Genomic DNA, 16,261 nt, shown 5'->3' on the forward strand with positions numbered 1-16,261 from the left:
TTTGACTTCAGAGAAAACAAACGCCAGGGCTATTTTAAGGTAGGAGAAGCTGGGTGAATAAACATCTTGGATGACTGTACGATTCTGGTGGGGAATGTACAAGATCTCACTGCAGGGGTGCAGAAAAAATTGAGTAAAATCAGAGTATGATTTTAAAAAGCAACTGAAAGACAAAATCACCAGTGGGCTATTAAATCCACACTTCAAATATGCTCTTTTAAAGAAAATGCATTATATGCATATTCAAAGCTATAAAACATTACAGTTTGGTTCACGTTGCAGATTGATTGATTGATTGATTGATTTAGATGGAGTCTAGCTCTGTTGCCCAGGCTGGAGTGCAATGGCGTGATCTTGGCTCACCGTAACCTCCGCCTCCCGGGTTCAAGCAATACTCATGCCTCAGTCTACAGAGTTGCTGGGACTACATGTGCGTGCCATCACGCCCAGCTAATTTTTGTATTTTTAGTAGAAACAGGGTTTCACCATGTTGGCCAGGATGGTCTCAATCTCCTGACCTCGTGATCCGCCCACCTAGGCCTGCAAAGGTATTTTAAAAAGAGTTTGTTTGACTGGGATACTTCTCCTTCCTTGGGAGATTAGCACTGCATTATCAACATAGATCCCAGAACTAGATTCCATTTGCAAATCTTGAGTATGGATCTACTGGAATAGATAACCAACTGGTGTCATAAGGATAAGATAATATCTGACATTTGTTTTCTCCTAAGTAATAAGTTTGGAAGGATACATCCTTACTCTAAAGATAATTTGCTCAAAAAATTTTGATACCCAATTTAAGAAATGCTTTAGGGACTGTGTCACATCTTTTAAAATAACTTACATGGTGGGAAATTGTTGCACTTTGACAGTGACTTTAACGTTTGAAAACAGCTCAAAATAGTGATAAGTGGAGTCCAGTGAATGAGGCGGGGGCATCCGGCACTGGGTCAGAAATGCAGTGTGGCTCTAAGGTGATGCAATGGCAACCACGATGATGCTTTGCAGCAAAACTGATCATGCTTTGAAAGTTATTGCTAAGAGGTTTGTGGTTGTTAGTGAAAAATCCTAGGAGCTGGAGCCTTCTAGAAAACACTGGCTCACAAGAAACAAAGCCCATTTTATGAGGATCCCTCTTCTCACTGCCTTGTAATCTGACCTTTCATCTTCTCTTGTGACTGAGGATGGATTGCCAGAGGCTGTGTGCTATAGCAGCCTTGTCTGGCCTGCAATGCAAGCCTGGCTCCAGCTAACAACATTTCCTTGCTTACCAGCTAGACTGATTTTGGGCCCCAAGGCCAACACGAGTCAGGATTAACTAAGCATGAGCAAGCTCTAATATTTAGTTTGAAAAATATTTAGTTTGGAAACCAGTGTTTAGTTTGATGAGAGGAAGGAGAGGGGGTTGAAGAACAGGAAGCTCACACCCCCACAGCTAATGCTGGAGCCATGACAGCAACACCTGCGTAGGGAGCCCCAGTGTGAGTCTCTGACCTACACACACCTGAGGTGTTTGTGCAGCCTACCCTTTCCTTTTATGGATAATAGAATTATCTGAGATCTCATAGTCTACAATGTCAATGTAATACTGCAACTGATTACATTCAGTATTTTACTCAGTATCTTTTTCTGACTCAAATCTTGTTTATATCATCCTGTGTTCTTATACGATTGTTTAGCTTCAATTAATAACTATAATGTAGCTTGGTTTTCTTTAAAGGCATGTCTAGTAATAAGCTATGGGTGATGAAGCTCCTTTATTTCTGCAGATACAGAAAGCCAATTCGAATCTAAACATGCTCACACATCTTGTTCATGCTATTCCCATCACTGGTGTGCACAGTCTCCATGATTCTGTATTAGGAGCAGGTGAGGGAGGATCATCGAAATATTAGAAGCTCAAAGCCTAAACTAGAATGTCTCTCCTTCATAATCAACTGTTTTGTAAAATCCTGAACCACATCTCTAACATGGTAAAAAAAAATTATTGTTCTTAGCAGTTCCTAACCTTTCTTTGAGGGCAAGTCCTAAGTGTATGTACATACGATGGTTATTAAGGAGGCCAGAGCGATTTAGATATAAAAATTCCGGCCCGTAGGTTAAAAAGCAGTGATTTATGGCCATACCTTTTAATATTAAAAAAGGCATGTGCAGAAATATTACCCTGAGAATTGTGAAAATATTTCTTAGCCTTGAACACCTCATTCTAGAGATGATGTAATTGAAAAACAGAGAGTTTCTGTAACTTGGCAAAGTCGCATAGCTCGTTATGAACAGGATCCAGATTTGTTCGTTAGACCTTCAAACCTGGGCCCTTTCCAACCTGCATGCTGCCTAGGTTCCCTAGCAGGGGTCCGTGTACCTGCAGCAATGCCAAAGGCAGTGCTGCCCGGCAGGGACAGTCCAGGGAAAGCAGCAGGAGGGAGATGGCAGGAGCAGGGACGGCCCAACTCTGCCCATCTCTCTAATTCACTTCCGTGGTGCTTCAGTTCAAGATTACCAGCTTGCTAAGGGTCTTCATCCTTCTTCCTTTTCTGCACCTGTGGCCAAACTGCTGCCCTAGAGGGTTTGACCGCAAGAGAAAACAGATCGATTTGTGTGGTTCCAGGAGAGCTAAAAACATTTTTAAAAATAATATGCATTTCAAGGATGTGACTTAAGTTTTACCATTGTCAAATGGGTTTTTCCTTCTCTGTTCCCTGCAAAGCAAGTAAAAGGTGTTAATTGCCATCCTGATACAATTCACATTTATGAAAGTCACAGAGTATATATTAGGCTGTTATAAATTTTATATTCAAAGACTTAAAAACCAATCGCTATAGGAAACTAGACCTAACTCTATTTTCAGACTTCTGAGATGTTCAAAACAAAAATTAGTCAGTGAATGTTTTAGTCAATTGGTAAATATTTCTTCAGTGTTCCTGTGTGTTATAGTCCTTGCTGGGTAGCTGAAGTGTAATGATCAGAGGTTATGTTCACAATTTGAAAAACCTACAATCCAAAAGATATAGTGTTTTTTTTGTTGTTGTTGTAGTTTTGTTTGTTTGTTTTTTGAGAGCAAGCCTCATTCTGTAGCCCAAGCTGGAGTACGGTGGCACAATCTCAGCTCACTGCAACCTCTGCCTCTGGGACTCAAGCAATTCTCATGCCTCAGCCTCCCGAGTAGCTGGGACTACAGGCGTGTGCCACCTCACCCAGCTAATTTTTGTATTTTAGTAGAGACGAGGTTTCCCCATGTTGCCCAGGATGGTCTCGAATTCCTAAGCTCAGGTGATCCACCTTCCTCAGCCTCCCAAAGTGCTCGGATTACAGGCGTGAGCCACCACACCCAGCTCAAAAGATGTTTTGAAATAGCTGCTATCTGTATATTGAGGAGTAAGTTCCGTGCTGGGGATATCAACAAGGACTATACAAGGTCCCTGAACCTACAGACACATAGAAGGCAAGACAGTGCTCCTACAACTGAATATTAATACAACATTCTGTAATGAGTATGCAAAGTGGCGGGTGAGCACAGAAGGAACAAATCCTTCTGCCTGGGAAGGAGAATTAAAGGAGAAAAGATGTCACGTTGTTTCAAAGGTAACCATGAACCATAGCACAGAGGCTGTCTGATGTATCTGATTGGGGAGAAGACGGCAAAGACAAGACCATTCTCAACTTTCAACAGGTCATGTTCCAAAGCTTCTCGTAAGCTGATTGGTTCTCTAAGTTATCTGCCCATTGAAACTGTGCTGCTCTCGATGAGAAGGAACTCACACTAGCCAATGTTTTACTCATAATCGTGCCTAACTTCTGTATCTGGAGCTATTCATAAAAGCAACTATTTATTGAGTATTTACCGTATGTCGGGCACTGCTCGAAGCACTCTATAAGCACTGACATCTAAGGTTTGCAACAATCCTCTGAGCTATGTTCTATTATTACCTTGTTCCAGATGAAATATCTCAAAAACAGGGGTCAATCTGAACAAGGTCACACAGCTGAATGACAGAGCCAAGATCAGTACTCAAATAATCTGGCGTTAGACCTGGGGCTCTTAGTCAAGATAGTACATTTCACCTTGAACATCAGAAACCATATAATGCAAATAAAAGAAGGAGGAAGAGAAAGAATTTTTGTATTGTTTCTGGTGTGTAGAGCAGGCCCTGAGAAAGATGTGCTACTTTCTGTGTTGGAAGTCATCTTGATAAGCCCCTAATTGCCCAGTGATATTATGACGCCCTAATAAATATATGGGCATCTAGATCATACCTGTACCCACAATGTAAATACTCTCTCTCCCATTTATTTAAAATGTCCATCCCATCCCACCTAGACGATGGGAGCAAATAAGCTATTTGACCTAATATATGGGTAATAAATAGCCATTTTATCTTTCCACAGATATTTACACTTCAAATGAAGACACTTGTTACTCAAAGAAATGGGTTGGGAGAAATAAAATAAAAATGTAATCAGCAGTGTAGTAGGGTCACCGGCCTCCCCTTCCTTTAACGGGTTCTGGGACTCAAATCTGGGAAGTGATTGAGGGACCGTGACTCTTTCTTTTGGTATGTCAAGATAGACTTCTGTTCACTTGATCTAGAACTCTTCTGCTTATACAGATCGAGTCAGAATTCAGTAGACTGCCCATCGAGTTCTCTTCTAGGGACACCATGACCACCTACCCAATGCCGTAGGACTCTCAAGTCAGGCTGTTCAGATTGCTGCTTTGACTCTGCTGTTCTCCATGATGGCAATGCACCCACCTGGTCTTTGGTGATCACATGGCCCCTGCCACCTGGGATCCAACCATCCCCAATGCAGTTAAGGACCCCCAGTCAGTGGCAGCAGCTTCCACTGCAATCTCTGACCTGCAGAGAAGAGCAGCCCCAGAGCTCTTCATGGACACCTGAGGCTCCCTTCAAAAATTTTTTTCCCCATACTTCTGGTGAAAGTGTGTCCTCTGCACCCTCCCAAGGTGGATGAGCAGATCTTTTATGATAAATCCACTGTAACATCCCAATCTCCCTAAGCCTCTGGATCCCTTCCACTACAGCATACCAAGGTAGCTCTGGCATTTCAACTTCATTTAGTGTAGGCCACCTTTTGGTGCCTGTTTCCGCCACCAACCAAACTGTCAGAGCCCTTTCTAAGCCCTGGAGGTACAACACTGACCAGATCCAATTTCATGTTCCTTGCATCATTATTCCACACCCTAATACCCATTCCCACACACTTTCCTCTAATTTATGTCTAAATTGAGAAAATCATGTTATTTTGGAGTATAGATCTCATGGGTCATACTTTGTGCCTCATCTTTAGATGCTTAGGGACTTGAGTCTAGCTAAGGTCTAGAAACAAAGATGGGTGTTAGTGTAGATCCTCAGAAAAATGTCAGTGGTGTCTGCAAGGCACACTAAGGTACCTTCAACCACAGGAGGCACAGATGATACTGTTATTGCATGCTAATATCCACTCTCTGTCATGGCCACAGACCGACTTTTCCCATTTTAGCTGAGCACATTATCCACCAAAATAAGAATGACATTTCCCAGCTTCCTTTACAGTACGGTAGGTGGAGAAGATTCCTACACTCAGGCTAACTGGATGTGAGCAGAAGTGATTCTTGCAGCTTCCTGGCTGTACCCGTAGAGGGTGGGGAAGGAGTGTTCCTTCTGCATCTCCTACCTCCAGCCTTCAGCTTGATGTGGACATGGTAACAGGCTGTCTTGACCCATGCAGATGAGTGCAACCCATGTGGGATGGAAGAGTATGGCTGCGGCCCTGGGAAACTTTAATAAGCAGAGTTAACATACCCGCTCCAATCACCTACATCTTGACTATCAGGGGAGACAGACTAAGTTTGTCTTATCTAAGCATCATTATGCTGAGAAACCTACATGGAAAACAGAACTCAAGAAGAACAGAATTGTCTTTGCTTAGAACTGGCTGACGGGGCCTTCTATCAACTGGAGAAAAGAGCCTATTTGCCGCCAGTCAGGACTACAAGCCTGTTGGGCTAATGACCAAGTGGTGTATTTAAGGAAGAATGGCAACAGTGGATTGACTGGTTTGACCAAGGTTAAGGCTGGAATGTAATTGCCCACTGAGAAAAGCCCCAACTATGCTTCTCGGAAGAAGATTCTGGGGGGCTTAGGGCAGGGGAAGGCACATCTAGCACCACACAGGGTAAAGATGGAATGAGTCCAAGAGGCCAGGTTGGAGGCTTGAGGTTCTGCATGCTGCGGGGCGCACAGAATGTAGAGCCACGCAACACGTATGTGGACCGAGATGAAAACTTAAGGGCAAAACTTAGAAGCGTGCCCTTGAACAAGGTGCTTGGTGTGGACAGCACTTGCACCCAAGGCAGCAGTGGCACCCACAGTCTCGTCACAAATGTGCAGGCTAAGGAGCAGACGAACGGCTTGTTCACTTGACCTAGAACTCTTCTGAGCACACCAGAGAAGGCCCCGGGGAGACAGGATGCTTGGTGTTGACCAAGTTGAATCTGAAGTGGGGTGGAGAGTTCAGAGTTGGCGACAATACTGAGGCGACAATAACCTGAGTTTGGGTTGCAGAATGAAATCACTCCTGAAGAGAGCAGTGAAGATCTCAGCAGAAGCTTCCCCCTCCAGGTGACTGGTGAAATGGCCACAGAAAGCCTAAGTAGTTTCTGCAGAACTAACCTCATAGATAGACCAAATCCATCCCTTTTTTATAAAATATATTTATAATTTGCAAGTTCATATACAAAAGGAGTTTAAATATGTCCATCCACAATATCCTAGTTTAATGCAGAATTGTGCCCAAACAGTACGGCACAAAAGGGGAATTTAAAAATAGCAAGTCATAATCAGAAAACATCACCATCCTATATGATAAAGCAAGGCAAATAAAACTTATATGTATATGCTGCAGGTGCAATGAAAACATTTTATAAGCTGGTAACTGTTACATATATTTTCTTTTAAAAACCCAACAACACATTGAAAAAATGCAAAGCTATACGTTGCTGTTAAATTTTAAAAATAATTTAGCTAAATTTTCTATGCCTATTAGATAATCACTAGACAGTTAAGAAATTATGAAATTATTAGACACTGTGTCTCTGACGGGCTTTTCACGATGTTGAGTATGTACTTCTCATCATTTTGATTTTGCCACGTCCTAGACAGGTCTGGAAGGTCAAGTGGAAGCTCTGAGGAATATGACAAACCTCGACTGACAGCCAAACATTTAAAAAATGTTTTCCAGGCCAGGCGCAGTGGCTCACGCCTGTAATCCCAGTACTCTGGGAGGCCAAGGCAGAGGATCACTTGAAGTCAGGAGTTCAAAACCAGCCTGGCCAACATGGTGAAACACCATCTCTACTAAAAATACAAAAAATTAGCGGACTGGGGTGGTGCACGCCTGTAATCCCAGCTACTCCGGAGGCTGAGGCAGAAGAATCGCTTGAACCCCAGAGGTGGAGGTTGCAGTGGGCCGAGATCGTGCCACTGCACTGCAGCCTAGGCATCAGAGTGAGATTATCGCAAAAAAAAAAAAAAAAAGGACCGGGCACGGTGGCTCACACCTGTAATCCCAGTACTTTGGGAGGCCAAGGTCGGGGGATCACGAGGTCAGGAGATCGAGACCATCCTGGCTAACATGGTGAAACCCCGTCGCTACTAAAAATACAAAAAAATTAGCCGGGTGTGGTGGCACGCACCTGTAGCCCCAGCTACTCGGGTGGCTGAGACAGGAGAATGGCATGAACCCAGGAGGCGGAGCTTGCAGTGAGCCAAGATCACGCCACTGCACTCCAGCCTGGGTGACAGAGCAAGACTCCGTCTCAAAAAAAAGAAAAAAGAAAAAGAAAAAGTTTTCCAATATTTTTGTTTTTAGCCTCAGTTCAATGGGATTTTTTTTTGACTGATTCCATGTCCTCAAGACAACGGTTTAAATCAAAAATCTTATAAGCTGTAATGTTGTAGATTATACACATGGTATCATATTGTTCTTCATCAATTGTTCTTCAATATCCAGATGGCTTATGCTATTCTAAGTTCTCCTGAATATTTATGCAAAAAAGCATATTATACACATCATTACTACATAACTTCACATACAATTCACTGTTAGTAGCACAAGAACCCAAAAGGAAAATGACATGTTAGAAATAAAATCACATTAAATAAAGACTACAAAAATGGTGCTGAAAAACAAAAGCAAACGTTAACAGTATTGATCTAGTGAGAACAATATGTAATTGTTCTAAATATTGTTTTTAAGTCCTATTAATCAGAAAAATGCAACTGCAGATTTGGAATATTGAGTAAAACTGGTGAGAAAAATCCTGAGAACTAAAAATCTCTAACACACACACACACACACACACACACACACACACACACACTCTCTCTCTCTCTCTCTCTCTCTCTCTCTCTCACTCTCTCTCTCTCACATAATTTGGCTCTAGGAAGGCACTAAGTTGCCTTCCCGTGAATCCCACATCCTCAGATCAGCCTTCTCCTGGCCCATGCTCTTACCTCCTAGTCTGTTAATTTTGACTGAGACATCGCCTGAGCATTCTGCTCTCTGCTCATCTTCATAAAGGTAAGGCAGCGCCTGCTGTGTGTCAGGCTTTATACAAGGTGTGCTGTGCACACTATCTCACAACCATGCATGTAATTCTTGAGTGTTAAAAGCGAAACAAAACCATAATAGAATATGTTATTTACCATTTTACAGAAAGAAAAGAGAAACAAACAAAAGGAACTCCACAATCATACAGTGAAGGGCAGAGCCATGAGGTCAATGAGAGTCTCTTAAACTGCCCAGTGGCAACACCATCCTTCCTCAAAGGTGAAGTCCAAAGCCATCTGCTTATCTCTGACTACGAACAAACACACATCACCCGTAAAGAAACACACACACTTACAAAGCAACAGGACGGACACATAGCTGCAGCACCCACAGCTCAGGAGACAACATGCTCATGCCCGTCTGTGTGGATGAAATATTTTATTTTAGAAATAAGCTCTAAATTTCCAATCCTTTCCACTGTTCCTTTTTTCATTTCTGAACTTGATAAATAGTATCTACTTATATAAGGCTGAGAAAGTGTGACAGAAAAGCAAGTTACTTTCTTAAATGCCTTCCATGAATCCTTTGGCAGCTGCAGCCACCTACCACTGAGAGCTACAGCCACCGCAATAGGGGAGGCCAATGCTGATCACATAGACATTAGCTCCATTTGTAATTCTTGGACTGTGTGGAAGTGTGATTTCAAAATGATATATATTACACAGGAAAATACATCATGCTATAAAGAGAAAATTATGATTAGATAGCCATATCTAATATATTTCAAAAATGAGCCCAAATTTTTACTCACATTTTAATCCAACTATCCTTAAAGGGAGTTTTAGAGATTCTTTCTGGATTGGAATATTGTTTTTCAGAGCACTAGTTGATTGGTTGATTCTTGTTTGTGGGACACAGTCCCCTTTTCTGCTCTGCTCTTTCCTAAGCTCTGATTGCCTGTTTTAGGGGACGGGCAGCCATGATCTCTAATCCCCTGTTCCCCCAAGCAAGGCTTCCCCTTTCTTCCCCCTGAAAATATGTAAGTCATTTCTTCCAGGCAAGACATTAGGGAACTCCAGGCAACACTGGGCAAGATGGAATAAAATAGTCAGGAACATCAGTTAAAAACAAATACACCAGTGCATTCTTGACCGAAAAAATCTCAAATCATATACCTAAAGACGGGTGGTATAGTAGAATCCTGTTGAAAGAAACTAAACGTAAAATATGTGTAAAATGTTCAATAATTATCAGTTATAATTATTAGAGATTGCATAATATGGAAAGTCTTTACCTTTTTGTGTATTATGTGTAAGAAAAAAAATCAGATGACTTAGCAACTAGTCACAGATAATTTGGGAGATATTTAAAGTTTTTGGTGGCTATGACTATATGCATATCCATCACAGGATGTTCATTTTGGATGGTAAATAACATATTCTATTATGGTTTTGTTTTGCTTTTAACACTCACGAATCACATAACATCTGCATTGAAGAGGCCTGAGTTCACTTATCACTTCTCTTAAAATTTATCTTATACGGAAAAAGAAAAAAAATCTGTAACCATTATATTAAACACAATAGCAGTTAATTTTTAACATCTATCATTAAGTAAAAACACTAGGAATCTCTGTGCAGGAAAATTTCAACATCAGTATTAAAGAAATGAGCTTAAAGGAAAATATGTAAGCTTCTACAAAGGCTTAGCTTTGAAGGCTGCCTTTTCCAGATATAAAAATAGATGGCTAAAATGTAAAATCGATTCTAATGGCAAGCAGACCTTTGCACTCACTATGCGCAGGAGAGAAACCTGAATATTTGACTTAGCAGCACCTTGGGAGTAGGCAGACCAGAACCCTCCAATAACCTTGGAAATCTCCACTTCTTGCAGAAAAGAATCAAATGCTCAAATAAGGTGGCATATCTGCTCAGCCCTCTTTCATCCCTGTAAGTAAGTATCATGATTAGAAGATGTCAATAATTTTCCAGAATGCAGGTTATCTTTTCTAAGCACCCAACACGTGAGGAGGTCACTAGGGTCAGGTCTCCCAGGGAGCTCAGGCTCTCTTCCAGCCAGGGGCCAGTCCACCTCCTCTGCTTTCTCCTGGATGAGGCTTTTCCTAGGGCAGGGGAAAGCAACAGGTTCCAGGCTGAGCAAGGGGGACCACTACCTTCTAACCCCCTACACACTCATACTCACACTCACACATACTCATAACACATGTGCACACTCACACTTATGCACTCAAACTCACATTCACACAAACTGTTACACAGTCATGCACACACTCGCACACCCAGGTTAGTCTCCCTGAACCCAGAGAGGTGTGGGAGTCCTGAAGAATGAGCTGGATAAAGAAGGCAGCCCCAGGATCTCCTGGGCAGACTCAGCTGTCCCCGAGGCAAGACGCAGTTTGCATGTTGGCCAAGGTTATTATCTTGTCGCCCCTGGAAGCCGAGCTCCTCCCAGAAAGTCCAGGATCAAAGTGGACTCAGGCAGCGGGAGCCCCCAGCCTGCCCTGGGGCACAAGCCAGCCAGCAGGAGGTGAACAGTGTGCGGGCACCACAGAAGAAGCTCGGTGGGGGTCCCAGTGGTGAGAGGCAGGGCTGAATCCAGACCCCAGTCCCCCCACCTCCACCCTGGCTGCGAGTCACCGCCCCGAGCCCCTGTGCCCAGCAACCCAAGCTGGGAGTGCTGTGAACCAGGCCAGCTCCCCTTGGGAGGGCAGAGTACTACAGCCCTACTGAAGGAGTTTTTAGCATAGGCCACCAACCTTTAGTAGGACTGACAGGCCCCAACCCCAGCATCCGCGGGGCTTGGAGGCAGGTGAGCTGAGTCCAGGGAGCCCAACCTGCAAGAGCCTATGCTCAGGGCAAGGTCGCAGGCAATCGCTGCTGGCACTTCATTCCGCCACTGGTGCCAAGTCACAGAGTGGACCGAGCTGGCTGCAGGGAACCACATGCCTAACTCTTCCAACAGTCACAGTGAGCTGCTGTCCCTTGGAGAGCGGGATGGGGGATGGGGAAGAGGGTGTCCATCCTCCAGGAACAGTGGCGAGGAGGACGGTGGATAGAGGGACTGGGAGGGAGCAGAGCGGCCTTTAACCTTAGTGCCACTCCCCAGGACCCCTCCCCGGTCTGCACTGAGGACCATAAATCACGCTTCATGCTAAAAGCCCTTTGTTAACTCGGTCACTAGCTTCCAATTCACAAATAGTAAATGTGCCAGGCACAGTGCCAAGCGCTTAGGATACAGAGATGATCCCTGAGCAGTGACACCCTCTGTGTGTAAGGCACCTGAAGAATCCCTTTCCCAAATCGCTTTTCAAGCTGGCGGGGAGAGAGGTGCATATCCGCTCTGTGGAAGCTTAGCTCTTCATCTATGCGAGTGAGACTAGACCCCTGCAAAATGGAAACTCAAACTGCAAAGTAGAGAACGAGGCCAGCATCCACCCGTGGGTCCCTCCTGCTGCCCCGGGACCCCGCCTGGCCACACCTTCCCTCCACTCGGAGCGCCTTTCTGGGTTTTCCGCTGAGGTTTGTTGAAAAGACGCCTCCCAGACTCTTCACTCACGAAGTGTGTTACAAAAACTCTCCCGGCAACTGTCCTGACCCTCACCAATCACGCTACAGCCCCCATTCGATTGCTTGCACAAAGAAAACATTTAACACAGGTGTGATCAACCTCGGTCAAGATGCAGAGTCATCAACCTCGGTCAAGATGCAAAAAGGTGGCCTTTTCTGCGAAGGCCACGCCCTCTGTAAATACAGTTACTACTTGGTGAAAAGCGCTCTACTTCCTAGCTCTTGTTGGTGAGAGGGAGAGCAAAGAACCAGGGCCCGGCATTCTTACGAGAGGAATTCAATGTCACAGGCACTGCCTGTTTGAGGAGAAGATCAGAAACGGTCCGACTCCCAGAACGCAGCACCCAGTTGCTTTGCACGCCAGGCCAGTCCTGGGGAAACGGTGCAACGCTTGTCTGGGCGTCGAGGAGGCTCCCTTGCGGTCCTCCCTGGGCCCTTGCCAGTCCCAAGGAGTTCCAACCCTGCTTTCTAACCCTTTAAAATCTGGAGAGGGCGGCCGCTGGGAGGCGGGACTAGGTGTTGGGGGTCTATAGCCTTAGCATCCAGTACTTTTGTAGTAGGGGCTTTTGTGGAGGTTTTAAAAAATAAGTAAGAAACGTCAAGGCACTGTCTCCCTGTACCTCGTCCCTCTTTTTCTTTTTTGAATGACCGGAGTCCTTCACTTCTTCCTTCACGGTTGCTGGGATTTGGGGTCTGGGAGAGATGGCCTCTGGGCCGTCTGGAGGCACAGCATGCTGTGCTTGCAGGGTCACTGGGGCGAGGGGCTCAGGTAGGAGCCTGACTGTACCTACGATGGGGACGCATCCGCCTTCCAGCCACAGCAATGGCCATCCTTAGTACACAAGTCAGTACTCCACGAAAGAAAATCCACGTGTAACTAAATTCAACATAAACAGTTTCCAGCACATGCCCGTCCCGAGCATCCTGTTAAGAGATACCCCGATCGCGCGCCCCAGAGTGGGAAGTGAGAGAGCCAGGCTGTGCACCAGGGACAGCGCGCGTCTGACGCCGCTGGCCTCCCGAATCGAACCCCAGAGCACCAGAGCCCTTCACTTTGTTAAGAAGTCCCCCACCCAGGCGCCCCCCTCGTCCTCCTCAAGTGCCCTCGGAAAGCGGACCAGACTCACCTACTGCCAGGCAGATGGGCAGCAGCAGCCTGAAGATGAGCCCGCACACCACTTCTGAGGCCATCGCGTCGGTCCGGCGAGTCGGAGCAGAGGGGCGAGGCTCGAGGGTCCCTAGGGGTGGTGGGACGCAAGGCCCATGCCCGTCTATGGCCTCTCGCCGCCGGCAGCTCGCAGCCACCCGAGCATCGCCTCGGCGCGGGCCGCGACGCTCTCCGCCCCGAGGGCACGCTCCCGGGGCTCTTGGCCGCCCCTCGCCCACCGGGCTCTGGGTAGCCCCTCACCAGGCTCTTGGCGGCCACCTAGCCCGGCGCCCGGCCCCCTGCGGCCGGCCCATTTAGTGTGAATCCTGGATCCGGCAGCGGCGGCGGCTTCTTCAGGGGTAGCTGATGCCGGGGCCTTGGAGAGGGACGCTTTGGGAGGGTCCTGGGAGGCGGCGCGGCGAGCAAAGGGGGCAAGAAGGGCGTGCTGTGCTCCCGCCTGGCTCCCGGGGCGTCGTTTGGGGGCGGCCGGGGAGTTTTCTACTTGGAAGCCCCTCTGAAGCCACCGCGTCTCCTTTGCCCGGCCTCGTCTCCGCTGCCCACGCAGGCTGCCGCGCTCTGGCCTCGGCCCCGGCTCTCGGAGCTGCCCGGCGGGCTCCGGGTCTCGCCCTCCAGCCCCCAGGCGGCCCGCGGCGGATCCCCGAGAGGCAGCGCAGCTCAGCCCCTGCGCCCCCCAGCTTCGGGCCGGAGAGACCGGGGTGGGAGCTGCCAGGCGCGCAGAACCATCCCCGCCACCACGGGGCTCGCCTTGTGGGTCCGGTGCGCGGGCGGCGCTGCGAGTCCCTCCCTCACTCGAAGGAACGGCGCGAGCGTGGGGAGAAATGGAGACCAGAGCGCATATCGGGTGAGTGGGTCTCCCACTCCCTCCTCCACCGCCTCAATTTAAAACTCAAGAGAAAAACCAGCGCCGTCCCGTCGCCCAGCGCGACCACCGCCTGCCGCCTTGCAGCCTCGCCCTCGCGGCGCAGCCGGGGCTCCCCGGCGGCGCGCGCTTCTCCACCTTCAATGAAACTTTCGAAGCCCTCACTCGGGGACGGGCGTGTCCCCCGGCCAATGGGATGGCGGCTCCGGGGCCTGCGCGCGCGGAGCCCGCCCCTGAGCGGCTGGGGAAGTGAGAGCCTTGCACCGGCGCGGAGGGCAAGCCCCCACCCGCGGCTCCCGCGCCTGGGAGAGACCCGGCCTGGCCTGCCAGTGGGCTGCGCGCCTTGGCTCGCCCTCCGCGGGCACTCCTGCCCCACTGGCTCCCGCAGCCCCGCGGCTCTGCGTGGTTCTGTCATTCCGGTGGTGCACCCTGGCATCCAGTCCACCCGGCCGGGCCCTGAGCTTGCCCAAACCCAGGGAACCGTTTAAGGTCCGAGGGAAACGCACAGGCCCGGCAGGAGAGAAGCCAGGGGCTTGGAGAGTCCTGTGCGACCCCGACTTCTGCTGGGTCCACAGGTGCACACTGGCATTAAGAAGAATAGAGCTGAATTCATCTACACCGTTGACCCTGCCCATATTTCACATAGCAAGAACTTGCCATTCTGAATAGACTCTGGGAAATCCCGGGTCTTCCCCAACAGATAATGCACCCACTTTGTGCATTTGGGGGAACTCTCCGTTTTCACCTCAGTTTTGCTCCTTGCTTGTCGTGGCTCTGGGGAAAGAGAGCGTTGGCACTGAGAATATTCTCCCTTTCTCCTAGTGCACTGCTTTTTGCCTGTTCTAGGCAAGATCTAGAGAAATCTGGCTCTAGCTGGGAGACTGCAGTGTGCCTGGGTCTTTTATTTAACTGTTATCCGAGAGTGGAGGAGATTTGCTAGAGCACAGTAGGGGTCTTTCCGGACATGGAGGAAGAGGCTGTTAGCATCTGTAGAGAGGACTGTTCAGGACTGGCATTCCATCAGGAGGACACACTGGGAAGGACCTGGCTTCCCTTCCGCACCTACATTCCTGGCTTGCATTAGTTGGAGGGGATAGAGCAGTGAGCTGATGAAAAACAGGCAAACCCCCGTCTTTTTAGCCATTTGAAACGCTTTTGTGGACATCCCTTTTTTGAGACAGGGTAAGCTTGTGGTTTGAGCTCAGGTGCCTTCACGAATTCTCTGAGAATTACAGAAAAACTATGAACCATTGCTTTTTGAATGAAGACTCAAGACAGTTGGCATATGGTGAAGACACCCTGAAACTTAAACCACCCATGTGCTCTGCCATCCTCAAGAAGCTTAGATAGCACCTAAACCCGGGCGTAGTCATGAGCTCAACAGCAGACCTACAGGAGACGATAGAACTTAAATTAGCATCCAGTCACCAAGAAATGCTATCAAGAAATGGTTTGTGTAGCCTGTTTGTAGAAGCCTGATATAAATCTACCACTAATTTTGATGTTCATAAGTCTGCCTTCACATCCATGCCCTCCCCACCTCACCCCATGTACGACTCATTCTTGGGAGCTAATAGGTGAAGGACTCCTGAATTTTAAATAATACTGTGTCATCACATGAATTCTGTATTCTCTGAATACTTTCTTATGTTCTTGATAGGCTTCCCATACTAACAACTGTCTAGACTTTTTCACAATAATTCTCTTTCAAAATAACATAAGCTGGGAGGCACAAGATTCCCAGCAGGTGGGTGGTCTTACCAAATAAACTTCGAGCTTTCTCTGCCACAGTGTGTACCAACTTGGCTGCTGGGGCGTTAGAGATTTTAACAACTACATCCCAGTTCTGAGACTTCCAACGTATGTACTCAAGGGGAAGTTTCAGCGGTCTAGACTACATCTGAAATAGGCTTCTCCATGCTGGCTACATGTTGCAGTCACCTGGGGAGCTTTTGAAAAACGCTCAGTCTCCACACTCCCTGAAATCCTGATTTAATTGGTCTGCGATGGGGCCCCCACACCTGTATTTTTCTTAAAGCTCTCAAGTGATTCTTAAGTATGCAGTCAGGGGTGAAGACCGCTGTCCTCATTTTCATA

At 47.2% G+C, this 16,261-nt stretch overlaps 1 protein-coding gene and 1 long non-coding RNA gene across 12 annotated transcripts in view, besides 6 other annotated features; both read right to left on the reverse strand.

Moving 5' to 3' along the window:
• Positions 1–14,309, reverse strand: part of PIEZO2 (piezo type mechanosensitive ion channel component 2) — a 479,323-nt gene extending 465,014 nt beyond the window's left edge. For all 11 annotated transcript variants that reach the window (XM_047437735.1, XM_017025918.3, XM_047437736.1 and 8 more), the window contains exon 1: positions 13,265–14,309. In XM_047437735.1, the coding sequence (XP_047293691.1) occupies positions 13,265–13,328 (64 nt within the window). In that variant the 5' untranslated portion in view covers positions 13,329–14,309. The remainder of the gene's footprint in view (positions 1–13,264) is intronic.
• LOC124904249 (uncharacterized) lies at positions 1,739–13,256 on the reverse strand. The gene is made up of 2 exons (XR_007066288.1): positions 2,668–13,256; positions 1,739–2,559 (listed from the first exon to the last, which is right to left on the reverse strand). It is a non-coding gene; the product is annotated as an uncharacterized LOC124904249 (long non-coding RNA).
• Positions 12,802–12,851: an enhancer, noted in NCBI's record as "active region_13094". NCBI's record gives its function as "activates an Ori minimal core promoter by ATAC-STARR-seq in GM12878 lymphoblastoid cells {active_cell/tissue: GM12878}" and the evidence as "EXISTENCE:reporter gene assay evidence [ECO:0000049][PMID:35858748]".
• Positions 12,880–13,718: an enhancer, noted in NCBI's record as "H3K4me1 hESC enhancer chr18:11148139-11148977 (GRCh37/hg19 assembly coordinates)". NCBI's record gives its function as "activates a minimal SCP1, AML or CMV promoter by ChIP-STARR-seq in naive H9 embryonic stem cells {active_cell/tissue: H9 hESC(naive)}" and the evidence as "EXISTENCE:reporter gene assay evidence [ECO:0000049][PMID:30033119]".
• Positions 13,412–13,481: a silencer, noted in NCBI's record as "silent region_9295". NCBI's record gives its function as "represses an Ori minimal core promoter by ATAC-STARR-seq in GM12878 lymphoblastoid cells {active_cell/tissue: GM12878}" and the evidence as "EXISTENCE:reporter gene assay evidence [ECO:0000049][PMID:35858748]".
• Positions 13,492–13,671: a silencer, noted in NCBI's record as "silent region_9296". NCBI's record gives its function as "represses an Ori minimal core promoter by ATAC-STARR-seq in GM12878 lymphoblastoid cells {active_cell/tissue: GM12878}" and the evidence as "EXISTENCE:reporter gene assay evidence [ECO:0000049][PMID:35858748]".
• Positions 13,692–13,971: a silencer, noted in NCBI's record as "silent region_9297". NCBI's record gives its function as "represses an Ori minimal core promoter by ATAC-STARR-seq in GM12878 lymphoblastoid cells {active_cell/tissue: GM12878}" and the evidence as "EXISTENCE:reporter gene assay evidence [ECO:0000049][PMID:35858748]".
• Positions 14,212–14,661: a silencer, noted in NCBI's record as "silent region_9298". NCBI's record gives its function as "represses an Ori minimal core promoter by ATAC-STARR-seq in GM12878 lymphoblastoid cells {active_cell/tissue: GM12878}" and the evidence as "EXISTENCE:reporter gene assay evidence [ECO:0000049][PMID:35858748]".

The sequence above is a fragment of the Homo sapiens genome, chromosome 18, assembly GCF_000001405.40.
Source record: "Homo sapiens chromosome 18, GRCh38.p14 Primary Assembly".
NCBI classification, from domain to species: domain Eukaryota; kingdom Metazoa; phylum Chordata; class Mammalia; order Primates; family Hominidae; genus Homo; species Homo sapiens.